The sequence below is a fragment of the Homo sapiens genome, chromosome 20 (genome assembly GCF_000001405.40).
Source record: "Homo sapiens chromosome 20, GRCh38.p14 Primary Assembly".
In the NCBI taxonomy this organism is placed as follows: domain Eukaryota; kingdom Metazoa; phylum Chordata; class Mammalia; order Primates; family Hominidae; genus Homo; species Homo sapiens.
The window spans coordinates 16,967,033-16,987,425 of NC_000020.11; the positions used below are offsets into that span (position 1 = coordinate 16,967,033).

Genomic DNA, 20,393 nt, shown 5'->3' on the forward strand with positions numbered 1-20,393 from the left:
AAACACAATTGAATAAATACAAAGCAAATGCTGAACTGATTTGAGAGAAGTGTCCCAGCAGGGTGCTGCTTGGGGTACACATTCCACAAACTGCATTGCAATTACTCTGAGAACACCTTGCTTCTTCCATCTCAAAAAAAATGTTAAGTATTAATTAATGAGCGATTAGTTCAGCCTTATGAGTTATTGCTCTAATAAAATGGCTGTTGAAGCAGGAATCATGACCAGTTTGAGTATATTATCGCTATTCTAAGAGACCTCTTTAATTCAACAATTAAGAGGCATGAAATGTACTTTAATAGACATAATTCAATGATATAAAATTGTTCATCTGGTGTGAGCCATTCATCTTTGTTAATACACCTCAGGTCCTATGGAAAATGACTCTTCAAGAGGACTTACAGAGGCTGTTTTTTTCTCCCTGTCCTGCAAACTACCTGTGCTGGGAAAATCAATGGTTTTTTTATATAGTCTCTGTTACCAGCTTGAGACCTTGACTGCACAATAAAAGCAAGTTCTGGGGTAGAATCACTGTCTTATGCTCTCCTGTCTATTCCCATAATGCCTAAGAGTTCTGATTAATAAGTATTTTAAATCAAATTAAAATTGAATTTCAATTGTTGAATTAAGTATAAAATTAGAAGACCTTCATGTGGAATTCAGTATATTTACAGAAACTGTAAATGGTTTATTGAATTATGCTTTTTACCTTTTGCAGTGGTTCTCATTTTGTTACCAGCAGCAAGTCTAGGAGGTTTCTTCAGTCATTGGTTCTTGTCTTCTTGGATTTGACCAAGAGACAGACGTAGATTTGAGGCAGAAACGAGAATTTATTGAAGCAAAGAAAAGTACACTTGGGCAACTAGGAAGGTTGAATGCCCCCCATCTTTGGCTCAGGAATCTTATAGATTTACTATTTCCTATTTATTTTTCTTGGTCTTCTCCCTTCCTCCTTCCCCTCGGGTGGGCTGTTGGCTAGCTGCTACATGTGCAGTGACTCCTCAGTATCTGGGAGGGGCCGCATGTGCCATTGGGTAGTTGAAATTAAAGACATGCTCTCTTAGGGAAATTTTCCCTTACTGGTCTAGCGCTCCCAGAGGAAGGTCATATACCAGTCAAACTGCCATTTTGTCCCTTACTGTGCATGTCTGGACACACTTGCTCAATTCCTAGGATCTTATCAGAAAGTCATTGCCCAGAAGCTCAAGATGTTTCCTGTTTGTTAGGAAAATTTCCCCTCCCTGACACCAGCTGTGACCATCAGTCCTGAAGAGGCCGCCTCACAATGGCATGACAGTCACCTGATGGTCACCTGACATTCCTTGGGGTCGTATCCTGCCCTGCTCATATCTGACTATCTATCTACTCCAAAACTTTCATGTGTTCTAAGAGAGTTAATGCTTTCATAACTTCTTTCATAGATCCTCCCACTTTGCTTCCCAACACTGCCACCACCCAACCCTAGCCCTCTCCTGCCTCACTCACCTGCATCTGAGTTTCTGTTATTGTGTTTGTCATACGTAAATTCCTGGTGAAGCTTCTCTTTATTTTGGCCTCTTCTTCAAGTCCTGGTTTTATAGTTCATGACCCATTTGAAATTGCTACAAAATTTTGATAGTTTAATAAAGGGTTCTTATTTTTTTACTTGAAAGCACATTAGTTTAGATAACTGTTTTATTTGTTCTTCAAGAACTTCACATTATTCTTTTTTTTCAATGACTATTGGCCAAATCAGCAAAATTTTACGTTATTCTGAATTTGAACATTAAAGGGAGCAGCATGACAAGAGTAGAAATTAAAATTGATTAGGAAGGAAATATTCTAGGTTCCTCTTCTTATTCTGCTGATAACTCAGCTCTTTAGATAACTATGGATGAGTTTCTAAGCCTCTCAAAACCTCACTTTACTTATCCATAAATTGAAGATTATTATACCTCCCAGGGTTTCTGCTAAAATCAAATGGGTATAATTGATGTGAAAATGTTTTGAAAAATAAGAGTTCTATACTAAGCCAGTTTAGCAATGTAGTCATGCATGAGAAAGCCTCAAGGGTTGGCCTTTCTCCTGCACTGCTGGTTTGTATAAAACTTTCCTGAGCTTCCACCTTCAACTCTAATTAGGTGAATATCCATTAGTGTTTCAGTCCTCAGTGTCCAAAATCCAACTCAGCATTTTTTTTTTCTGCAGAAGCTGTAACTCTAGTTGGTTCAAAACATGGCTAATATTGTTATCATATTGGTCACGCAGACCTGAAACATGAAAATTATTTTCAACTTGGATGGCCATGCCCCAGTATTGGTAGCATTATGCTGGTTTACAACGATTCCCAAATACCACATCAGAAATTTATATTCCTAGAGTTCTGGAGTTTGGAGCTTTGGAATCTAGGTGTCAGTGTGGTTGTTCCTTTTGGATGTCCTAAGGCAGAGTGTATTTCATGTTTGCCTCCTGGCTTCTGGTGGTTGCAAGCAATCTTTGGCACCTGTAGACACATCACTCTAATCTCTGCTTCCGTCTTTACATAGTGCTCCTGTTGGGTGTCTCTGTCTCTTTCCTTTCCTTATAAGAACACAAGGTCATTTGGTTTGGGGCCCACTCTAACCCAGTATGACCTCATTTTAACTTGAATACACCTACAAATGCCCTATTTTCAAATAAGGTCATATTCACAGGTAGTGGGGACTAGGACTTGAACATATCTTTTGGGAGGATATAATTTTAGTCACTATACCCTGAAATATTACCAAAAGTCCACCTTTAAACTTCAAAGTGTCCTGGTTTGGATGATAAATTTGATTGTCACCAAAAACTTTGACTCTTGGTTCTCCTCTCCAGCATCTCATCTTTTTGCCAAACCAGGAAGGAATGGTTTCTTGCATTTCAGCTATCTAAATCTGTAAATGCACCATGCCCCTTCATTTCTGACATCTCTCACTCTATTATTTTCCTCAACATCTGACCCTGTTAGCCTACCTCTACTGACCTAGTCTGCTATCATCCTCAAACTGCAACTTCAGCCTCTGGCTATCTCCTACATGTCAATTCCTCATTCCCAAATTTAACTATTAATATGTCAGCAATCCGTATGCCAAATCACCCTCTTAAGTGGTCTATTTGTCCATACAGATCATTATTTCAATAGGGTGAAAACAATTCATTCTTTTTGTAACATATAATTTGGAATTCATGTATTTTAATTAATTTATTTATTTTGAGACAGCATCTTGCTCTGTCACGCAGGCTGGAGTACAGTGGTGTAATCTTGGCTCACTGTAGCCTCACCTCTGAGGTTCCAGCGATTCTCCTGCCTCAGCTTCCCAAGTAGCTGGGATTACAGGTGCCTGCCACCACACCCGGCTAGTTGTGTAGTTTTAGTAGAGAGGGGTTTCACCATGTTGGCCAGGCTGATCTCGAACCTCTGACCTGAAGTGACCCACCTGCTTCGGCCTCCCAAAGTGCTGGGATTACAGGCATGAGCCACCGCACTCAGCTACATTTATGTATTTTAATCTCTTTCTTCTCTTATGCGGATAATGTCTAGGACTATAAAATATCTTTTCTGCCTTTTGTTCAAGACTAAGTATATACTATGTTTGTTGATATTCATCCTTATGTTCATAGGGCTTTTTAAAAAATCCTTGAATTAAGGGTAGGGATGAGGAAAAAAAATTCACAAAAGAAGAGGAACAATCAGCTGAAGCTCAGACATTTGTATTAATACATTGTTTTATAAGTACTGTATGATGTGCTTCTTTGGGTAAATATCAGAATTTTGAGTAAAGGGCACTCATGATTTTCTTGATTCTACTCTTAGTTTTGTAATAACTTGGTGTAGATTGCTTTGTGTTCGTACAAATCAGTGAGATCCTGTGGGAGAAAATTATTTTGGAGCGTGAGTGGGTTTTCAGCCAGAGACTGTGGGAGGCACACATGACGTCTGTCTGCTTTTTCCTTCTCATAACTAAAATTGTAGTATTTTTGACAGACTTAAACTCTCAGGGATGGTAGCAAATTAAAGTGGTTTCTAAACAGCCAAGTCTGGCCTGAATTCTGCTACACAAATGTGTAACAGATTACCATCAGGCAGGACATGAAAGTTGACTGTTTTAAAAATCTACAAAAGAGAGGTGAATTTCTCCCATTTAGTAGCTCAAAATGAATGCTTGTGAGAGAGCCAGCAAGCTCGGTGTGAAACCTGTACCATTTGAACATATTAAAAATAGAAAAAAATCCCGGAGAAACATCTTTTCAGAACAAGTTTAGGTTGGGCTGTAGGATTCTGGCATGGTTAAAGGTTAATCTTTGGCATTCAGAGCAGAGAAATTTAATCTGTTTAAGCTTCAAAGGACAGAAAACTCAAAGATTCCTATTTATTCCGGGGTGATTTTCTTTTGGCTCTGGCTAAATCACTTGGGGCAAAGGGGTTTTCTTTAAAAAACAAATAAAAGTAAGAAGGAAAAGGAAGAAAGACATAGTTCTGGCATAGCCAGGAGAAAATGCTAATAGGAAGTATGGAGGCAACCCTTCTCTAAAGAAGAAAGTGAAAGCAGATAAATGCTAAATTGGAGTTTGTCTGGGACAATAGAGAAATGGAATCATGTTTCTAGGTCTTCATTTTTCTAGTATACAACAAACACGGTACAAAAATTTTTATCACGGTGAGCGCCAGAGTGATTGGACTTAAGTAAAGTTTGGTATGAGAAAGACAGCAAATTGTAGTGTTGGTCTTAACTATATTCTAATGTTTATATTTGTGTATTTATACATAGTAATTAGACATAATTAAAATGTGATGCTAATTATGTTGATAAATAATTATATACTTAAAGGAAATACAAAGTTGACAAGATGGCAGGCCATCTTCCTTCCACTTTTCTCTTTTATTGCCTACGAAATACTTTCAGGTTGGGGTTGGCCAGTGCAGCTGTCAGGCACCACCCTTACCTTTCCAGGAGGTCCATCCACAGAGCATAAAAGGAGACAAATGCTTGGGAGGCATTCTTGTAAATATGGATCTCAGTGCGATAGATTGCAAATGTCAGACTGCTAGATTCCATCACTGGATTCCATCACTGGATTCCTAAGATCAGTGCAGAGATTAAAAAAAATACGTTTTTTTTTCTCCCTTAAAGAAGAACAACTTTCTAATTTTCAGATCTTTATAATTAAGGAAATTTCCAGAAGAAGTCATAAGAAAAGGCAGCATCAATAGCAAATACTTTCCTGGAAATTGATTTTAAAACATTTTTTATTTTCCACTATTTTTGTCTTCTTTCATTGGAATGAGGCTTTAAGAAAATGTCTCTGTGTTCCAGAGAGATGTGAAGCAAATAGAAACTCCGATTAAAAAGCACAGCTTCCCATCTGGAGGATAATGTTTGTTCAACTCAGCTCAAGATCCTCTAAATTTGCTAGTGATGATGCTTCATGGAAATTGACAGCTGAGGAACCCAAAGAGCTGTACTCAAATAACTGCCTCCTCCGTCTCTTCTTTCCTCTCTCCACGTCTGGTGCCCCTAAGAGCAAATGACAATGTGGGGGCGGGGGTGTACATATATCTCTGAGGGGCAACTTAATTAGCTCCCAAATAAAGAAAAAACTTCAGGGGCTGCGAAGGCAGTGATTATGTTAACCCTTGGATTGATAGGAAAACAAGTGAGGTTCTAAATCTCCTTTTTATGGATGGTGATAAAAGGGTCATCTTGTCCGTTTATTAATGAAACACCAAGACTCTCCAGGCAAGATTTTCATCAGGTTACTCACCAACTCTGCAATGTTCATGGGAACAGCATCCTTCTCAGATAAATTCCTCCTTTTCCATGTTGAACTACAGCGGTCTGATCTGAGGTGCCACTCACTAGCCAGTCCTGTGGCCTCCTTCCTGTGGCCCTGAAAATCTGTATCTGTGTTCTGTTCTGGCTGTAGAGAAAACATCAATATGTTTGATAAGACTAACGGGGATGACTTGAGTGTGAAGATTTGGTCTTGTTATTCCCTGGCAGCAATCAGTCACCCCAGAATATTCCAAAGGGACTGAAACAGTACTAACTGTGTCCATTCCATTTTCACTGCTGTTCCTTTGCCAAGGGAGTTTTCAGCAAAAATAATCAACAGAAAGAGCGAAAACAAGCTGGACAGAGCAGTCTTACTTCCAGTTGACTGACAACATAGCTACCCTAAAACTGACAACTGTGTCAAGAAAACAATTACTCACCATGTCATGACTCAGAGTAGAATTTTATTGTGCACTTGTTCTGTACCTGAAAATTTAAATATGTGTCTGTCTCTTCTGTTGGTTTCAAAATAATTGTGCATGTTGACCACTGCTACCTTTGCGATCACTTACTTCCTGCTTTTGAGTGTTGAAATGTTTCCTTTTTTACAAGATAATGTTTATAGTAGATGACTTTTTTGGTTTTATGCTTACTTTAGGTAAAATTAAAAAGTTGATGACCACATATTAGTCTCCAAATTAAAAAAACAACAACATACTAGACAGTGAAATTCAAACGTTTTAGAATCTCTAGAAAAAAATGCCCACCTTATTAATTTAGTCATCAAATATTTATTGAGTATCCACTTATATGTGGCTTTTCTAAGGCAGCACCCATCCAGGAGAAATACAATGTGAGCTATAAATGTGAGTCACCCATATAATTTTAAATTTTCTAGTAGCCACACTAAAGAAAAGGTAACAAGAAATAAGTGCTGGATTTTAATATAATATATATAAACTTTTATTGTAAGTTCGGGGGTACAAGTGCATGTTTGTTACATAGGTAAACTTGTGTCATGGAGGTTTGTTGTACCGATTATTTCATCAACCAGGTATTAAGCATAGCACCCCTTAGGTATTTTTCCTGATCCTCTCCCTCCTCCCACCCTCCACTCTCCAATAGGCCCCAGTGTGTGTTGTTCCTCTCTATGTGTCCATGTGTTCTCATCACTTAGCTCCCACTTATTAAGTGAGAGCATGCAGTAATTGGTTTTCTGTTCCTGTGTTAGTTTTGTAAGGATAATGTTCTCTAGCTCCACCCATGTTCCTGCAAAGGATAAGATTTCATTCTTTTTATGACTGCATAGTATTCCATGGTGTATATGATGGCAGCGGTGGGCGTCCAGAGTGGCTGCTGCCACCGTACTGGCTGCAGCAGGGAGGTGTGAGCAGTGGCGGCAGGAGCGGCTGCGGGAGCAGCAGTGGAAGCGATGGGTCCCCTGTGCCTTGCATCCCCAAGGCAGCTGACTACACCGCCATCACCCTCACACAGCCAGGTTGGATCTGCCACCAGACCTGGAGCCTCTGCCGCTCCAGACCCTGGCTCCCTGTCACCACTGTCACCCGCTGCTGCTGTGGGGAAGGTGCAGGGTGGAAGGCAAAGCTGGGTCCCTGACGCTGCCATGCTCCATGGAGCAGGTGGGAGCCAGGGACAAGTGGGAACCCTCCCAGAGCCCGCCGTCATGGTGGCCACCATGATGGAGCCCAGCCGAGCCATCAGCCAGTTGGGGAGCAGTGCGGTCAGGTATGGGCGGGCAGAGAGGGACCAAGCGAGGACCTGGAGCCCTTACCCCAGGCTGCAAGGAAGCACAGCCAGGGCTGCCTGTACATTCCATGGAGCGGGCAGGTGCCCCACCCTCCCAGGTGCAGGACCTGGATGTCTCTGCATTATGCACCCTTGGGGGCCCAGGAAATCCCCCACTACCCCTGCAGGCTTGAGGGTGTCTGCTCCTGCTGCCTGGCCTCTTCCTGCTCCTGGCGCTCGCTTCAATCTTGGAGCAGGGTTAGGGCCAAGCCCAGGTGCTGTCACAGGCTGGCTGGGTTTGCCCATGCTCATGGCAGCGCTGACACACCAACCCCCTGCCGCCTCGGCCCCCTCCAGACTTTGGTTGCTGACGAGTGCCGGGGGAAAGCCAAGGTGGGACTGAGGGCAGCTACCTGCTGGCTTGCAGGTGACCCTTGGCGCTAGCAGCCTGGGCGCCACGGACAGCGGCAGGAGGCAGGAAAACTCCTGGGTGGAAGGGGACGGGTCCCCGGTGAGCCCCCACCTTCAAGCCAGGGAGGGCCTGAAGGCTGGGGGCCAGGCTGCCTGTCCCGCAGACTAGAGTGGGAACTTGTGGTGCCTTTTCCGGTCGCCCGTGGCCGCCCATGGACCAATCCTCACACATGTCCTCCCCTCTGACCAATCCTCCCCTCTGACCAATCCCGCCCATGGACAAATCCTCACACACGTCCTCCCCATAAAAAGCCCAGGGCTCAGCCAGAGCTGAGCAGATGATGGAATGACTAGCCGCAGAGCAGGAGCTACCCTCTCTGCTAGGTGCTAAACACTTGTTGGGACAAGCTGCCTGCAGAGAGGAACTACCCTCTCTACTAGGAGCTGAACATTTGATGGGACACCCTGGCTGCAGAAAGGAGCTGCACCCTGCGGGTCTCCTCTGAGTTGTTCTATTGCTAAACAAAGCTCCTCTTCATCTTGCTCACCCATCACTTGTATGCATACCTCATTCTGCCTGGTTGCAGGGCAAGAACTCCGGACCCACTGAATGGCGAGGCTGAAAGAGGTGTAACACGAACAGGGCTGAGTCGTGCTCGTTGCTCACTACATTGCAGGTAAAGAGAAGGAGAGAAGCTCTGCGGCCCTTTGGGGAACCTGGACCTGCGAACTCCCTGAGCCAGGGCTGTGACTCCCTCTTTGGGGCCCTATGGTTCCTGGCGTCTCCAAGCTTCCGTGTGCCACACATTCCCCGGTGCCAGCCGTGAAAGCTGCTTGCAGTGTGCCTGGTCCAGCCGCAGCCTCGCAGAGAGCTGGGGCCTGTGCCAGCACCTGGAGCTGCCTGACCCACTGCAGCAGCCAGCATGTCTGACTGTGTGCAGTGGCCGGACCCCACACTTGCTAACACACCGCTCACCGCTCCTCACCTGACTCACCCTTGGCAGGTGTGGATCCAGGCCCTTGGCAGGCATGGGATCTAGGCCAGTAGCATGAGCCAAGCACAGCCTTCCAGGCCAGGTGGGCTCGAGCAAAACTCAGGCAAAGGAACCACCGGCCACAGAGGCTTCCAGCCAGAAAAGTGACACCTCAAGGATCCCGTAACATATATGTACCACATTTTCTTTATCCAGTCTATTATTGATGGGCATTTAGGTTGATTCCATACCTTTGCTATTGTGAATAGTGCTGCAATGAACATATGTGTGTGTGTGTCTTTATAATAGAATGCTTTATATTCCTTTGGGTGTATACCCAGTAATGGAATTGCTGGGTTAAATGGTATTTCTGTCCTCAGATCTTTGAGGGATCACCACAGTCTTTCACAAATGGGTGAACTAATTTACACTCCTATCAACAGTGTATAAATGTTCCTTTTCCTCCATAAACTCACTCACTAGCATCTGTTTTTTTTTTTTTTACTTTTTAGCAATAACCATTCTGACTGATGTGAGATGAGATCTCATTGTGGTTTTGATTTGCATTACCCTAATGATCAGTGATGTTGAGCTGTTTTTTCATATGATTGTTGTGAAGATAATTCCTAAACACATGTGGGGGATGGCTTGCTGTGTGGGGGATGGCTTGCTGTTAGCTGATCAAAACTGGGTGACCTGGCTATGCTCCACATCTTCCATCCTTCAGCCAACTAACCCAGATGTCCATGGCAATGATGGAGCTGCAAGAAAGAGCAAGCTCCAATATACAAGCCCATTTCAGTCTTCTGCTTGCATCGTGTATGTCAACATCCTATTGGGCAAACCAAGTCACATGGCTGAGCCCAGAGTCAAGAGGCAGAGCAGGTGTCTCACAGTAAGTATTAATAATAGCAAGTAATAGGTTGTCACCTAAACTTCTGGCGGACTGGTTGTGACTTGGTTTCCACAACCCCCTGCTCAGGCTTGATTAATTTGCTATAGTGACTTACTGAACTCAGGGAAACATTTTACTTAAGTTTACCCATTTATTAATAAAGGGTATAATAAACAATACAGATGAACAGCCAGAAGGAAGAGATATATAGGGTGAGGTTATGTGGGAAGAGGCACAGAGCTTCCCTGCCCTCCCTGGGCACACCACTGTCCAAGAATCTCCATGTGCTCGGCTATCCAGAAGTTCCCCAACATCAGTCCTTTTGGGTTTTTATGAAAGCTTCATTATCTATGCATGACTGATTAACTTAATGGCCATTGGTGATAAACCCAAACTTCACCTCCCCTCCCAGAAGTCTCAACCCTCTAATTTGGCCTAGGTCTTTCTGGTGAACAGCCCCCATCCTAAAGCTATCTCGGGGTCCCCAGCCACCAGTCTTTTCATTATCATATAAAAGACACTCTTATCACTAGAGATTCCAAGCGTTTTGGTAGCTCTACACCAGGAAAGGTGGACTAACACATATATGTATGTATATATGTGTGTACATGTATATGTATATATAACTGAAAATTACAGTATTATAAGTGGCCTCACCTCAATCTTTGCCTTGGGGACACAGGGATCCCTCTGCTTATTCTTGGTTCATTCTCTAGCTACCTCTCTCCCTCAGCCTGGACAGTAGCTGCATTTTGTGCTTGTACTATTGGATTACATTTCCTGAAATTATTGTCTCAGGACTGCTTTTGGAGGAACCCAGTATAAAACAGTATAATAACCCAAGCTCACTGGAGTTATATATTTTAGGTCATAGAGTGATTCACCTCATCTACAACCTATACATCATGAGTTGTAATACTGACTTGTCTGTTGCAATCTGAAGCAAATAAATAATTGTTTTAAAAATTCTTACTATGCTTCGAAGCTGTGAAAGCATGTTGCTAAAACATCTGTTTAATTTATTTACTTCAGTCCAATAATCAGTCAGTTCAGCCAGAAATATATTTGCTTGTATAAACTGAACACTCAGGGGACCCTTGAAACTGTCCATATTTTAGTTACTTAGTTTGGTATTGTTGGTACACATCTGCCATCTCAACCACCTCCACAATAAACTGAAATAATCATACCACTGTGCTCTCCATGCTGTTGTGAGGATAATTCCTAAATATTGCTGTGAGACTCATGGCACATATGAAATTTTTAAATAACAAACATGAAATGCTTTATTTAAGGGTACCCCCAAGAAAACAGATTGAGGTGAATTCATGTTTTGAATTTATCATCATTTTAATTATTATTCTCCTGTACACTGCTGGTTAAAAATGCCTTTCATACAATAGGTTTCTCAGCTTTATTCTAAGCATTAACTGTACCTGATAATGGTTTTGCTCATGAAGTTCTGATAACACAGAAATGACAAATCAATATAAGCCCAGAATGACTAATGGGCTAGAGTACAAAGATAACCCAGTACTTTTCTCTCCTTGTTCCCATTCCTTTGCCATATGACTTTGTAATATAATTTCCCATTGTGGGAAACCTGCTCTGCCCCTTGACTCTAGGCTCAGCCATGTAACTTGGTTTGCCCAACAGGATGTTGGCATACACGATGCAAGCAGAGGCATGAAATGGTCTTGTTCTCTCTTGTAGCTCTATCATTGCCATAGACAGCTGGATTAGTTTGCTGGAGAATGGCAAATGTGGAACATACCCAGGTCACCTAGTTTTGATGAGCTAACAGCAAGCCATCCTCTACACAGCAAGCCATCCCCCACACATGTTTAGAGCCAAGCTGAGAGCAGAAGAACAACCCAGCTGAGCCCAGCACAAATTCTCAACTCTCAGATTCAAGGACTAAACATATGCTTATTATTTTAAGTGACAGAGCTTTGAGGAGGTATGTTAGGTAGTGCTGTTACTACTTCTAATATGGTCAAATTCATGAGATACTTCTGCTATGGCATTGACTAATCTAGTTTCCTACCTCATTTCCTCTGTGTTGATGGTAGTCTCAGACTTTCTGACACTATCTTACTGACTGATTGCCAAGATTTTCTTCCTGACTCAAGAATTCTAAGGCTTTTCAACATTTTTCTTCTCTTGACTTCATCTCTCTTTCTATCCTGCTAGGAGTCAGACTCTGTCTTTGCCATTAACTGAATATGGAAGCAAATGGTTCCATCAATTTTTTTTTTTTTTTTTTTGAGATGGAGTCTCACTCTGTCGCCCAGGCTGGAGTGCAGTGGCACGATCTCGGCTCACTGCAACCTCCACCTCCCAGGTTCAAGGTTCAAGTGATTCTCCTGCCTCAGCCTTCTGAGTAGGTGGGATTACAGACACTCACCACCATGCCTGGCTAATTTTTGTATTTTTAGTAGAGATGGGTTTCACCATGTTGGTCAGGCTGGTCTTGAACTCCTGACCTCATGATCCACCTGCCTCAGCCTCCCAAAGTGCTGGGATTACAGGTGTGAGCCACCACACCTGGCTGGTTCAATCTTATGATCCCTCAGTAAGTTTTCTGCCTCCTTTTACCCTGTATAACTATAGTTTATTATGACACAGCCAGCAGCAACAAAAGTATTTTATTACTGTGACAGACAGTTTGAAATAAATTTCTTTTGACATTCTCCAAGCCAGTGTGGGAGCTGGAGAAACACACATTGGGTGGGAAGAAGCTGATTGAAAGGGGTATTTTCAATATATTTTTGCACAAAGGGATGCATCTATAGTTTTTGTGGCACTTGACACTTGAGTCTAAACTGCAATAGCTGTTTTTCCCCAAAACTGTGTCAATACTATATGCCAAAGAAGACTTTCTTATTTCCATTAACGCATTTACTCAGAAAGCGCATACATAGTGGGATTCTCTTTGTGAGGCCTATTTGTGCCCTGTAGCACTTTCCAGTATGTTCTTTTGCTTCCTTTGTCTCCTCCATCAAGGCTCCAAAGTAACCCTAAAAGTATTGGGACTTAGTGAAGACTTACTCCCTACTTCCCTAGTGAAATCTTCACTAAGTCTCTTCGCTTTCATGAAATCTTTTCTGGTTTACATTCAGATTCTTGCCTCTGTTTTTATCCTGGGAAAGAGAAGTTTCATAACTTCTGGGATGAATACTAAAGTTTCATAACTGGGATGAATACTAAAGCTCCAATATTTAATATTACTTGAGGGCTCCCAGAGTATCTGGTACTATCTCACTGCCTCCTGAGTTTGGTTTTGGGGAGGATTCCTGAACATTAGCCAAGACACAACAGTATATACAACAGGAGTGTATATGAAGGGGATCCCAGAGATGAGACCAACATCTTTCTCGAGCCTCCTCAAACTTGAAATTACTCTGAGGAGGCTTGGAGTGAAAGAAAAAGGACATGGAGGTAGCCGCTCAACTTCTAACAATATTTGTTTGCGAGCAAGCATGGGGCACATCCAGAAATATGTATGGGGCTTGTTCTATGCAGGGCTTGCTATATTAGACAGGATGAGAGCCAGTGAAGTAAATACTATTCCTGGTTCTAAAGGAAAGTATGAGTTATATGTGAATAAAAAGTCCTGGACTGGAAATTCAACCTTTTCAAGCTTCTTTAGTTTTCAATAGTATTACTTTCTCAAATATTTCATTTGCCTTCATTTAATTGCAAATACTTTGTATTATGCATAAGAGAACCAAGAGACAGTGTGGGCCATAAAATATTCATTGCAGATTTTAATTTTGATTCTGGAGTCAAATAATAAAATGGAAATAAGGGGAAAATATTCCAAAATGAGTCACAAGATCCACAAAGGTCTGAAGAAAGTGATCTTACCACTCAAATTGTATTAGAATATACATAAGCTAATGAATCATATATCAATGCTACTTTTTGGAGTACTAACAGATGGCACTTCTACTGGAGGAAAGTGAAATACTCATCCCTGTAGAAATCCACTTGGGTGCAAGCAAGTGGCACAGAGTCCATTGGCACTCAGGCAGCTAGTTTTGCACCTCTGTGTTCAGTGCTGTGAACTGGCCTCTCCATAAAAGTCCATCCCAATCTCTGCACAATGCAAACACATAATCATATGATAAAAATAAGATGTAGGAGTGGATTGTTGCAAAGAAGCTATTATATCCAGACTCAAAGAGAAGAAACTGTAAAAGCAATGCAACTATACTAAAAGCATTTGCTCCTTTATGAGGAAGAAAAGTTACATTTGGTTATATTGAACCCATTTGCATAGGAAAGGGATAGATATTATTGGAAGTGAAAGTGGAGAGAGACTGAGCTACATGCTCATGGCCTAGATGCAATGGTAGTTGACTTGGTAGGGGTTACATGGGGCTCTACACAACTTTCTATAGACACTCTAGGTGCCACGCCTACATCTTGTTAATCCTCTTTACCATTCCTTTACTGCTACTTTTGCTTCTGTTTGATTTTGCTTTTAATGTCCTTTACCTTGACACTGTCAAGGAGTGTCTATTTTTGGAGGCCTGTCATTGTGCTACTGGAGCCAATTTGCCCACATGTGTGGATTTTGAAGTGCTCTGGGTTTGAGACCCTTTGGGATGGCCCTTAGCCAAAGTTGATGAGTATGGAGATATGAGAGCCTAGCTCCCTTGCCTCCTGTCAGTACAAACTCTGAGATGTAATTTATGCTCTAGAGCTCTCCTGCAGGATGAGCAGAGGCTGGGATCCTCCCTAGAATTGTACCCTTGCTAAATGACTTCCCCTTCTCTTGTCTTGCTTCTCCATTCCCTCACTGGTATCTCCTGGGGCACTTCCTTAATAAATTCCTGATGAATTCCTGTTCAGGATTAGCTCCTCAAGACTCAGTCTAAGATACTCTCCAATAGATAGTTTAATCTATCCACATCCTCAGCAGAGCTTCTCTGCTCAGCATTGGTGACCAGCTTCAGATTGTAAACACTCTTACAGATAGTGCCCACAAACATTCCCTCAGAACACTCAAGGAAGGTGTAGATAGCAACAGTATTCTGAACTCTTTTGTATCCGAAAAAACAACTGGAATGATAATAAGCCACAATCTTCCAATGACAGCAATAAAAAGCAACCTTTTTACTTTAATAAATACATTTAGGGAGACAGACAAATTGGCTCTTTTGATAAACAAGATAATAATTCTATTTCTTCTCAGTCAACAGAAGTTAATAGCTTTCCTACTGAAACCTATTTAAGTTGACAATAAGTTGGAAACTAACCTGAGTTTGTGAAAAAGGTGTCATAATTAACTTACTCAGAACGTTTCTTGATGTATTGATTACCATTTATCATGGGCGGAGGACATTTGCCCTGAAAATTGGGAGGTACCAGGTGGCGAATTTACACAAACACAGTGAAGAGATCTGGATTCTCCTGATCTAGAGCTCAGAGACATGGTTGATGTTAGGAGAAAATTCAATCCTTACGTCCCTCTCTTTTTTCTTTTCTTTTCTTTTGTTTCCCCTCTCTCCCTCTCTCCCTCCCTCCTTCCCTCCTTCTCTCCTTCCTTCCTTCCTCCCTCTCTTCCTTCATTCCTTCCCTCCTCCCTCCCTTCCCTCCTGCTTTTCTCCCTTCCTCCCTCCCTTCCTTCCCTCCTTCTTTCCCTACTCCCTCCCTCCCTCTCTTCCTTCCTTCCTCCCTTCTTTTCTTCTTTCCCTCCTCCCTCCCTCCCTTCCTTCTTTCCTTCCTTCCTTCCTTGCCCCCCCTTTTCCTTCCTTCCTCCCTTCCTTCCTCCCTTCTTCCTCCCTCCCCACTTCTTACTTCCCTACCTCCCTTCTTCCTTTCTTTCCTCCCTTCTTCCTTTCCTTCCTCCCTCCTTTCTTTCCTCCTTCCCTCCTTCCTTCCCTTACTCCCTGCTTCCTTCCTTCCCTCCCTCCCTCCTTCCTTCCTTCCCTCCCTCCCTTCTTCCTCCCTCCCTTCCTGCCTTTCTCTGTTTCTTTCTATAGCGGAAACCACTCAGACTGCATCATCCTCTCCCTCTGACTCTCCACAATCACGAATGGCAAATAGCAGTTGCAGGAAAGCAGCGCCAAGAGCCAGCTTCACACTCAGGAGAGAACCCTGTGCCTCTTCCTCATGTTTCTGGTGCTCTACACATTCAGAGGAACTTCCCTAGTGACAAACTATAGAAATGATCCCTGAAAATATAATCTTCATTTTACATTTCTTAATGCAGGGGTCCCCAACCCGAGGAAACAGTCCACACAGTAAGCCCCACAGAAACAGGGGGCAAGCCAGCATTACCGCCTCAGCTCCACTTCCTGTCAGATCAGCTGGGCATTAGATTTTCATAGAAGCAGGAACCCTATTGTGAACTGCACATGCGAGGGATCTAGGTTGCCTGATTCTTATGAAAATCTAATGCCTGATGACCCGAGGTGGAACAGTTTCATCCCAAAACCTTTCCCCCACCCCCACTCCGTGGAAAAATTGTCTTCCACGAAACTGGTCCCTGGTACCAAAAAGGTTGGGGACGCTGCCTTAATAAAAGTTTTTTTAATCTGACTGGCCCCAGTCAAATTTACATTCTGTGAGAATGTAAATAGACTTCACATGAGGAAACAGTTCTGTTTATTTAATCTGCAGGACTTCTCAGAACCTTTATTTTGCTGATGTATGGTGCAAGTCTCTCAATGCTACATTTTCCAAACTTAGTGGTTGTAACATCTTTTTTTTCACAACATCTCTGCTGCTGTAGACAAGATTGTAAACTAGTCAGATTTCTCTTTGCCTTCCTCCACTTTATTTCTTTATCTCCCCTTTGATTCCTTACCTGAATCATCTTGTATGAAAATAAGTATGAGAAATATAGGTGTCTATTAATTAATATCTTATTCATCTATTATTGTGAACTCAGGCATCTGCTCTATAGAAACTCAGAATGTATTTCTTGGGAGGAATGCAGTCGATTGCACTCCAAAATGGCCTATGCTTCTTTGTTCTTCCATGCATGTCTATCTCTGTCTCCAACTAGATCAGAAGACCCTGGAGAACTGAGTAGAAGTTAAAATGTTTTGAATGAAATTAAACACTGATATTAATATTCAATTAGTTCAATTAACGTTATAGGTCTAAAACTTACCAAGCATTCCCACCAAAAAGAAAATTTGTCAATAACTTTGGGAAATAGTCTTAAAATATAAGATTTTAGCATTTGCTGTTTAGTGTCCGTGGGACAATCCTCCTAGAGAGCGCTTATCACTACATCATATATGTATGTGTTGATCTCTCTCTCTCTTCTCTTTCTCTCTCTCTCTCTTTATCTACAGGCATACCCCATTTTATTGGTGCTTTGATTTATTGTACTTCACCAGTATTAGTTTTTTTTTTTTAAACAAATTAATGGTTTGTGGCAACCCTACTTGAGCAAATCTATCGGCACCACTTTCCCAAAAGCATGTACTCACATCATGTCTCTGTAGCTCTCTCGATTTCAAACTTTTTCATTACGATTATATCTTTGATGGTGATCTGTGATCGGTGATCTTTGATGTTACTATTGTAATTGTTTTGGGGTGTCACAAACTGTGCCCATATAAGAAGGTGTACTGAATTGATAAATGTTCATGTTCTGATTGCTCCACCGACTGGCTGTTTCCCCATCTCTCTTGCTTTCCTTAGGCTTCACTATTTTCTGAGACACTACAATATTGAAATTAGGCCAATTAATAAACCTACTATGGCTTCTAAGTATTCAAGTGAAAGAAAGAGTCACATGTCTGTCACTTTCAATCAAAAGCTAGGAATGATTTAGCTCAGTAAAGAAGGCATGTTGAAAGCTGAAACAGGCTGGGCCTCTTGTGCCAAATAGTTAACCAAATTGTGAATGTAAACAAGAAGCTCTTGAAGGAGATTTAAAGTGCTTCTCCAGTTAACATATGAATAATAAGAAAGCCAAACAGTCTTATTCCTGATATGGAGAAAGTTTTAGTGGTCTGGATAGAAGATCAAACAGCTAGAACATTCCCTTAAACCAAAGTCTAATCCAGAGCAAGGCCCTAAATCTCTTCAATTCCAGAAAAACTGAGAGAGGTGAGGCAGCTGCAGAAGAAAACTCTGGAGATAGTAGAGGTTAGTTCCTGAAGTTTAAGAAAATAAGCCATCTTCATAATATAAAAGTGCAAAGTGAAGCAGCAAGTGCTGATCAGAAGCTGCAGCAAGTTATCCAGATCTTGCTAAGATCATTGAAGAAAGTGGCTACAATAAATAAAAGATGTTCAGTGTAGATCTAATAGCCTTCTGTTGGAAGGAGATGTCATCTAGGACTTCCATAGGTGGAGTGGAGAAGTCAATGGCCAGCTTTATAGCTTCAAAGGACAGGCTAGCTCTCTTGTTAGAAGCTAATGCAGCTGGTAACTTTAAGCTTAAGCCAATGCTCCTTTACTGTTCCAAAATTCTAGGGCTCTTAAGAATTAGGCTAAATCTACTCTGTCTATGCTCTATAGATGAAACAACAAAGTCTGGATGACAACACATCTGTTTGCAGAATGGTTTACTGAATGTTTTAAGCCCACTGTTGAGAATTTCTGCTTAGAAAAAATGGTTCCTTTCAAACTATTACTGCTCATTGACAATGCATGTGGTCACCCAAGAGCTCTGCCGAAGATGTACAAGGAGATAAATACTGTTTTCATGCCTGCTAACACAACATCCATTCTGCAGCCCATGGATCAAGAACTAATTTTGACTTTCAAGCCTTACTTAAGAAATACATTTAATAAGGCTATAGCTGCCATAGACAGCAATTCCTCTGATGGATCTGGGCAAAGTAAACAAAACCTTTCTGGAAAGAATTCACCAGTCTTGATGAAATTAAGAATATTTGTGGTTCATGGGAGGAGGCCAAAATATCAATATTAACAGGAATTTGGAAGAATGAGATTACAAGCCTCATGGAGGACTTTCAGGGATTCAAGATTTCGGTGGAGACAGTCACTGTAGTTGTGAAAATACAAAAGAGCTAGACTTAGAAGTGGAGCCTAAAGATGTTACTAAATTGCTGCAATCTCATTATAAAACTTAACAACTGAAGACTTGCTTCTCATGGATAAGCCAAGAAAGTGGTTTCTTGAGATAGAATCAACTTCTGGTGAAGATGCTATGAACATTGTTCAAATGACAGCAAAGGATTTAGAATATGAAATAAACGTTGTTAATAAAGCAGCAGCGCAGTTTAGGAGGATTGACTCTAGGTTTGAAAGTTCTTCTGTGGGTACAATGCTATCAGACAACATTTTATGCTATAGAGAAATCTTTCACAAAAGGAAAAATACATCAATGTGGCAAACTTCATTTTTGTCTTATTTTAAAAATTTCCCACAGCCACCCCAGGCTTCAACAACCACAGCCCTTATCAGCCTGTGGTTATCAACACTGAGGCAAGACCCTTTATAAGCAAAGAGATAATGGAGATAATGAAGGCTCAGATGATTTTTTTAAGCAGTAAACTATTTTTAATTGAGGTATATGCATTGTTATTTAGACATAATGCTATTGCACATTATTAGAATACGGTATAGTATAAACATAACTTTTAAATGCCCTGGGAAACTAAAACCTTATGTGACATGTTTTATTGCAATATTTGCTTGATTGCAGTGGTCTGGAACTGGACCTGCACGATCCCTTAGGTGTGGCTGTATACTGTATATCAATTATTTCTTCCCTCTAGAATGTAGGCTCCAAAGATTAAAGGCTTCATTTTGCTTGCTGCCATATCCTCAGTACCAGGCACATATCAGATGCTTTGATGTGTACCATTGAAAAGAAGGAAGGAAGAAAGAAAGGAAGGGAGGGAAGGAGAGAGGGAAGGAGGGAAGAAGGCAGGAATCCAGTGTATACACATGCTCATGGTACTTTTTTGCTTTTTGCCAGAGTGTAGCTGCTACCTTACACTCATATATAAAACACAAGGAGGTCATTAAATAGTGTCATAAGTGGTCTTCAGGAACTGAGTGGTTTGGGGGTTAGGATAATTCTCTTGGAAGAATAATGATAAGGCACTAAGTATGTGTTGGAAGCTGTGGTGAATATTTATTTTGGCCAGCTCAGTTGAAACATATTTATTAAAACAGAGTTTCATTGATACTAATTCTATTCAACATGGAAGCAAACAGGATAATAAGAGATGAGTTAGGTTCTAGTTTGGGGAACCAGAGGACTGGGACTTGGGGTGGGGGGCTGACTGGTGGCAGTAGAGGGGAAATGTTATTATCGGGAAGAAGTTTCAAGATGTTCCAGGCATTTACAACATTCTTATTTCCCAAAATACCCAGAAAATCAGGTCAAGTAAGACATTCTGGCCCTTCCTTCCTATAAGAACATACTTCTTACTTTTTAAAGAAAGTCTGTGAAAAGCAAAAAAGGGACCTTTTTACCAGAGCTGACTGTAATGTCAGCTACTTGCGGAATGTGACAACTGCTTGTCATTCTCAATGTCCGATCACCAGAAGGTTTCTCCCCAATCATGGATTCATGTAAGAACTTGGCTCTAAATGTTTCCAACACTAAAATTGTCTTTTCCAATAATTCATTTTTTTTATTGAG

At 41.6% G+C, this 20,393-nt stretch overlaps 1 pseudogene, besides 1 other annotated feature; it reads right to left on the bottom strand.

Annotated features, from left to right (window-relative positions):
- Window positions 8,818-9,344: an enhancer, noted in NCBI's record as "H3K27ac-H3K4me1 hESC enhancer chr20:16956495-16957021 (GRCh37/hg19 assembly coordinates)". NCBI's record gives its function as "activates a minimal SCP1, AML or CMV promoter by ChIP-STARR-seq in naive H9 embryonic stem cells {active_cell/tissue: H9 hESC(naive)}" and the evidence as "EXISTENCE:reporter gene assay evidence [ECO:0000049][PMID:30033119]".
- Window positions 15,799-16,001, bottom strand: LOC124904984 (uncharacterized; annotated as a pseudogene).
- Between the last annotated feature and the right edge of the window lie 4,392 nt (window positions 16,002-20,393).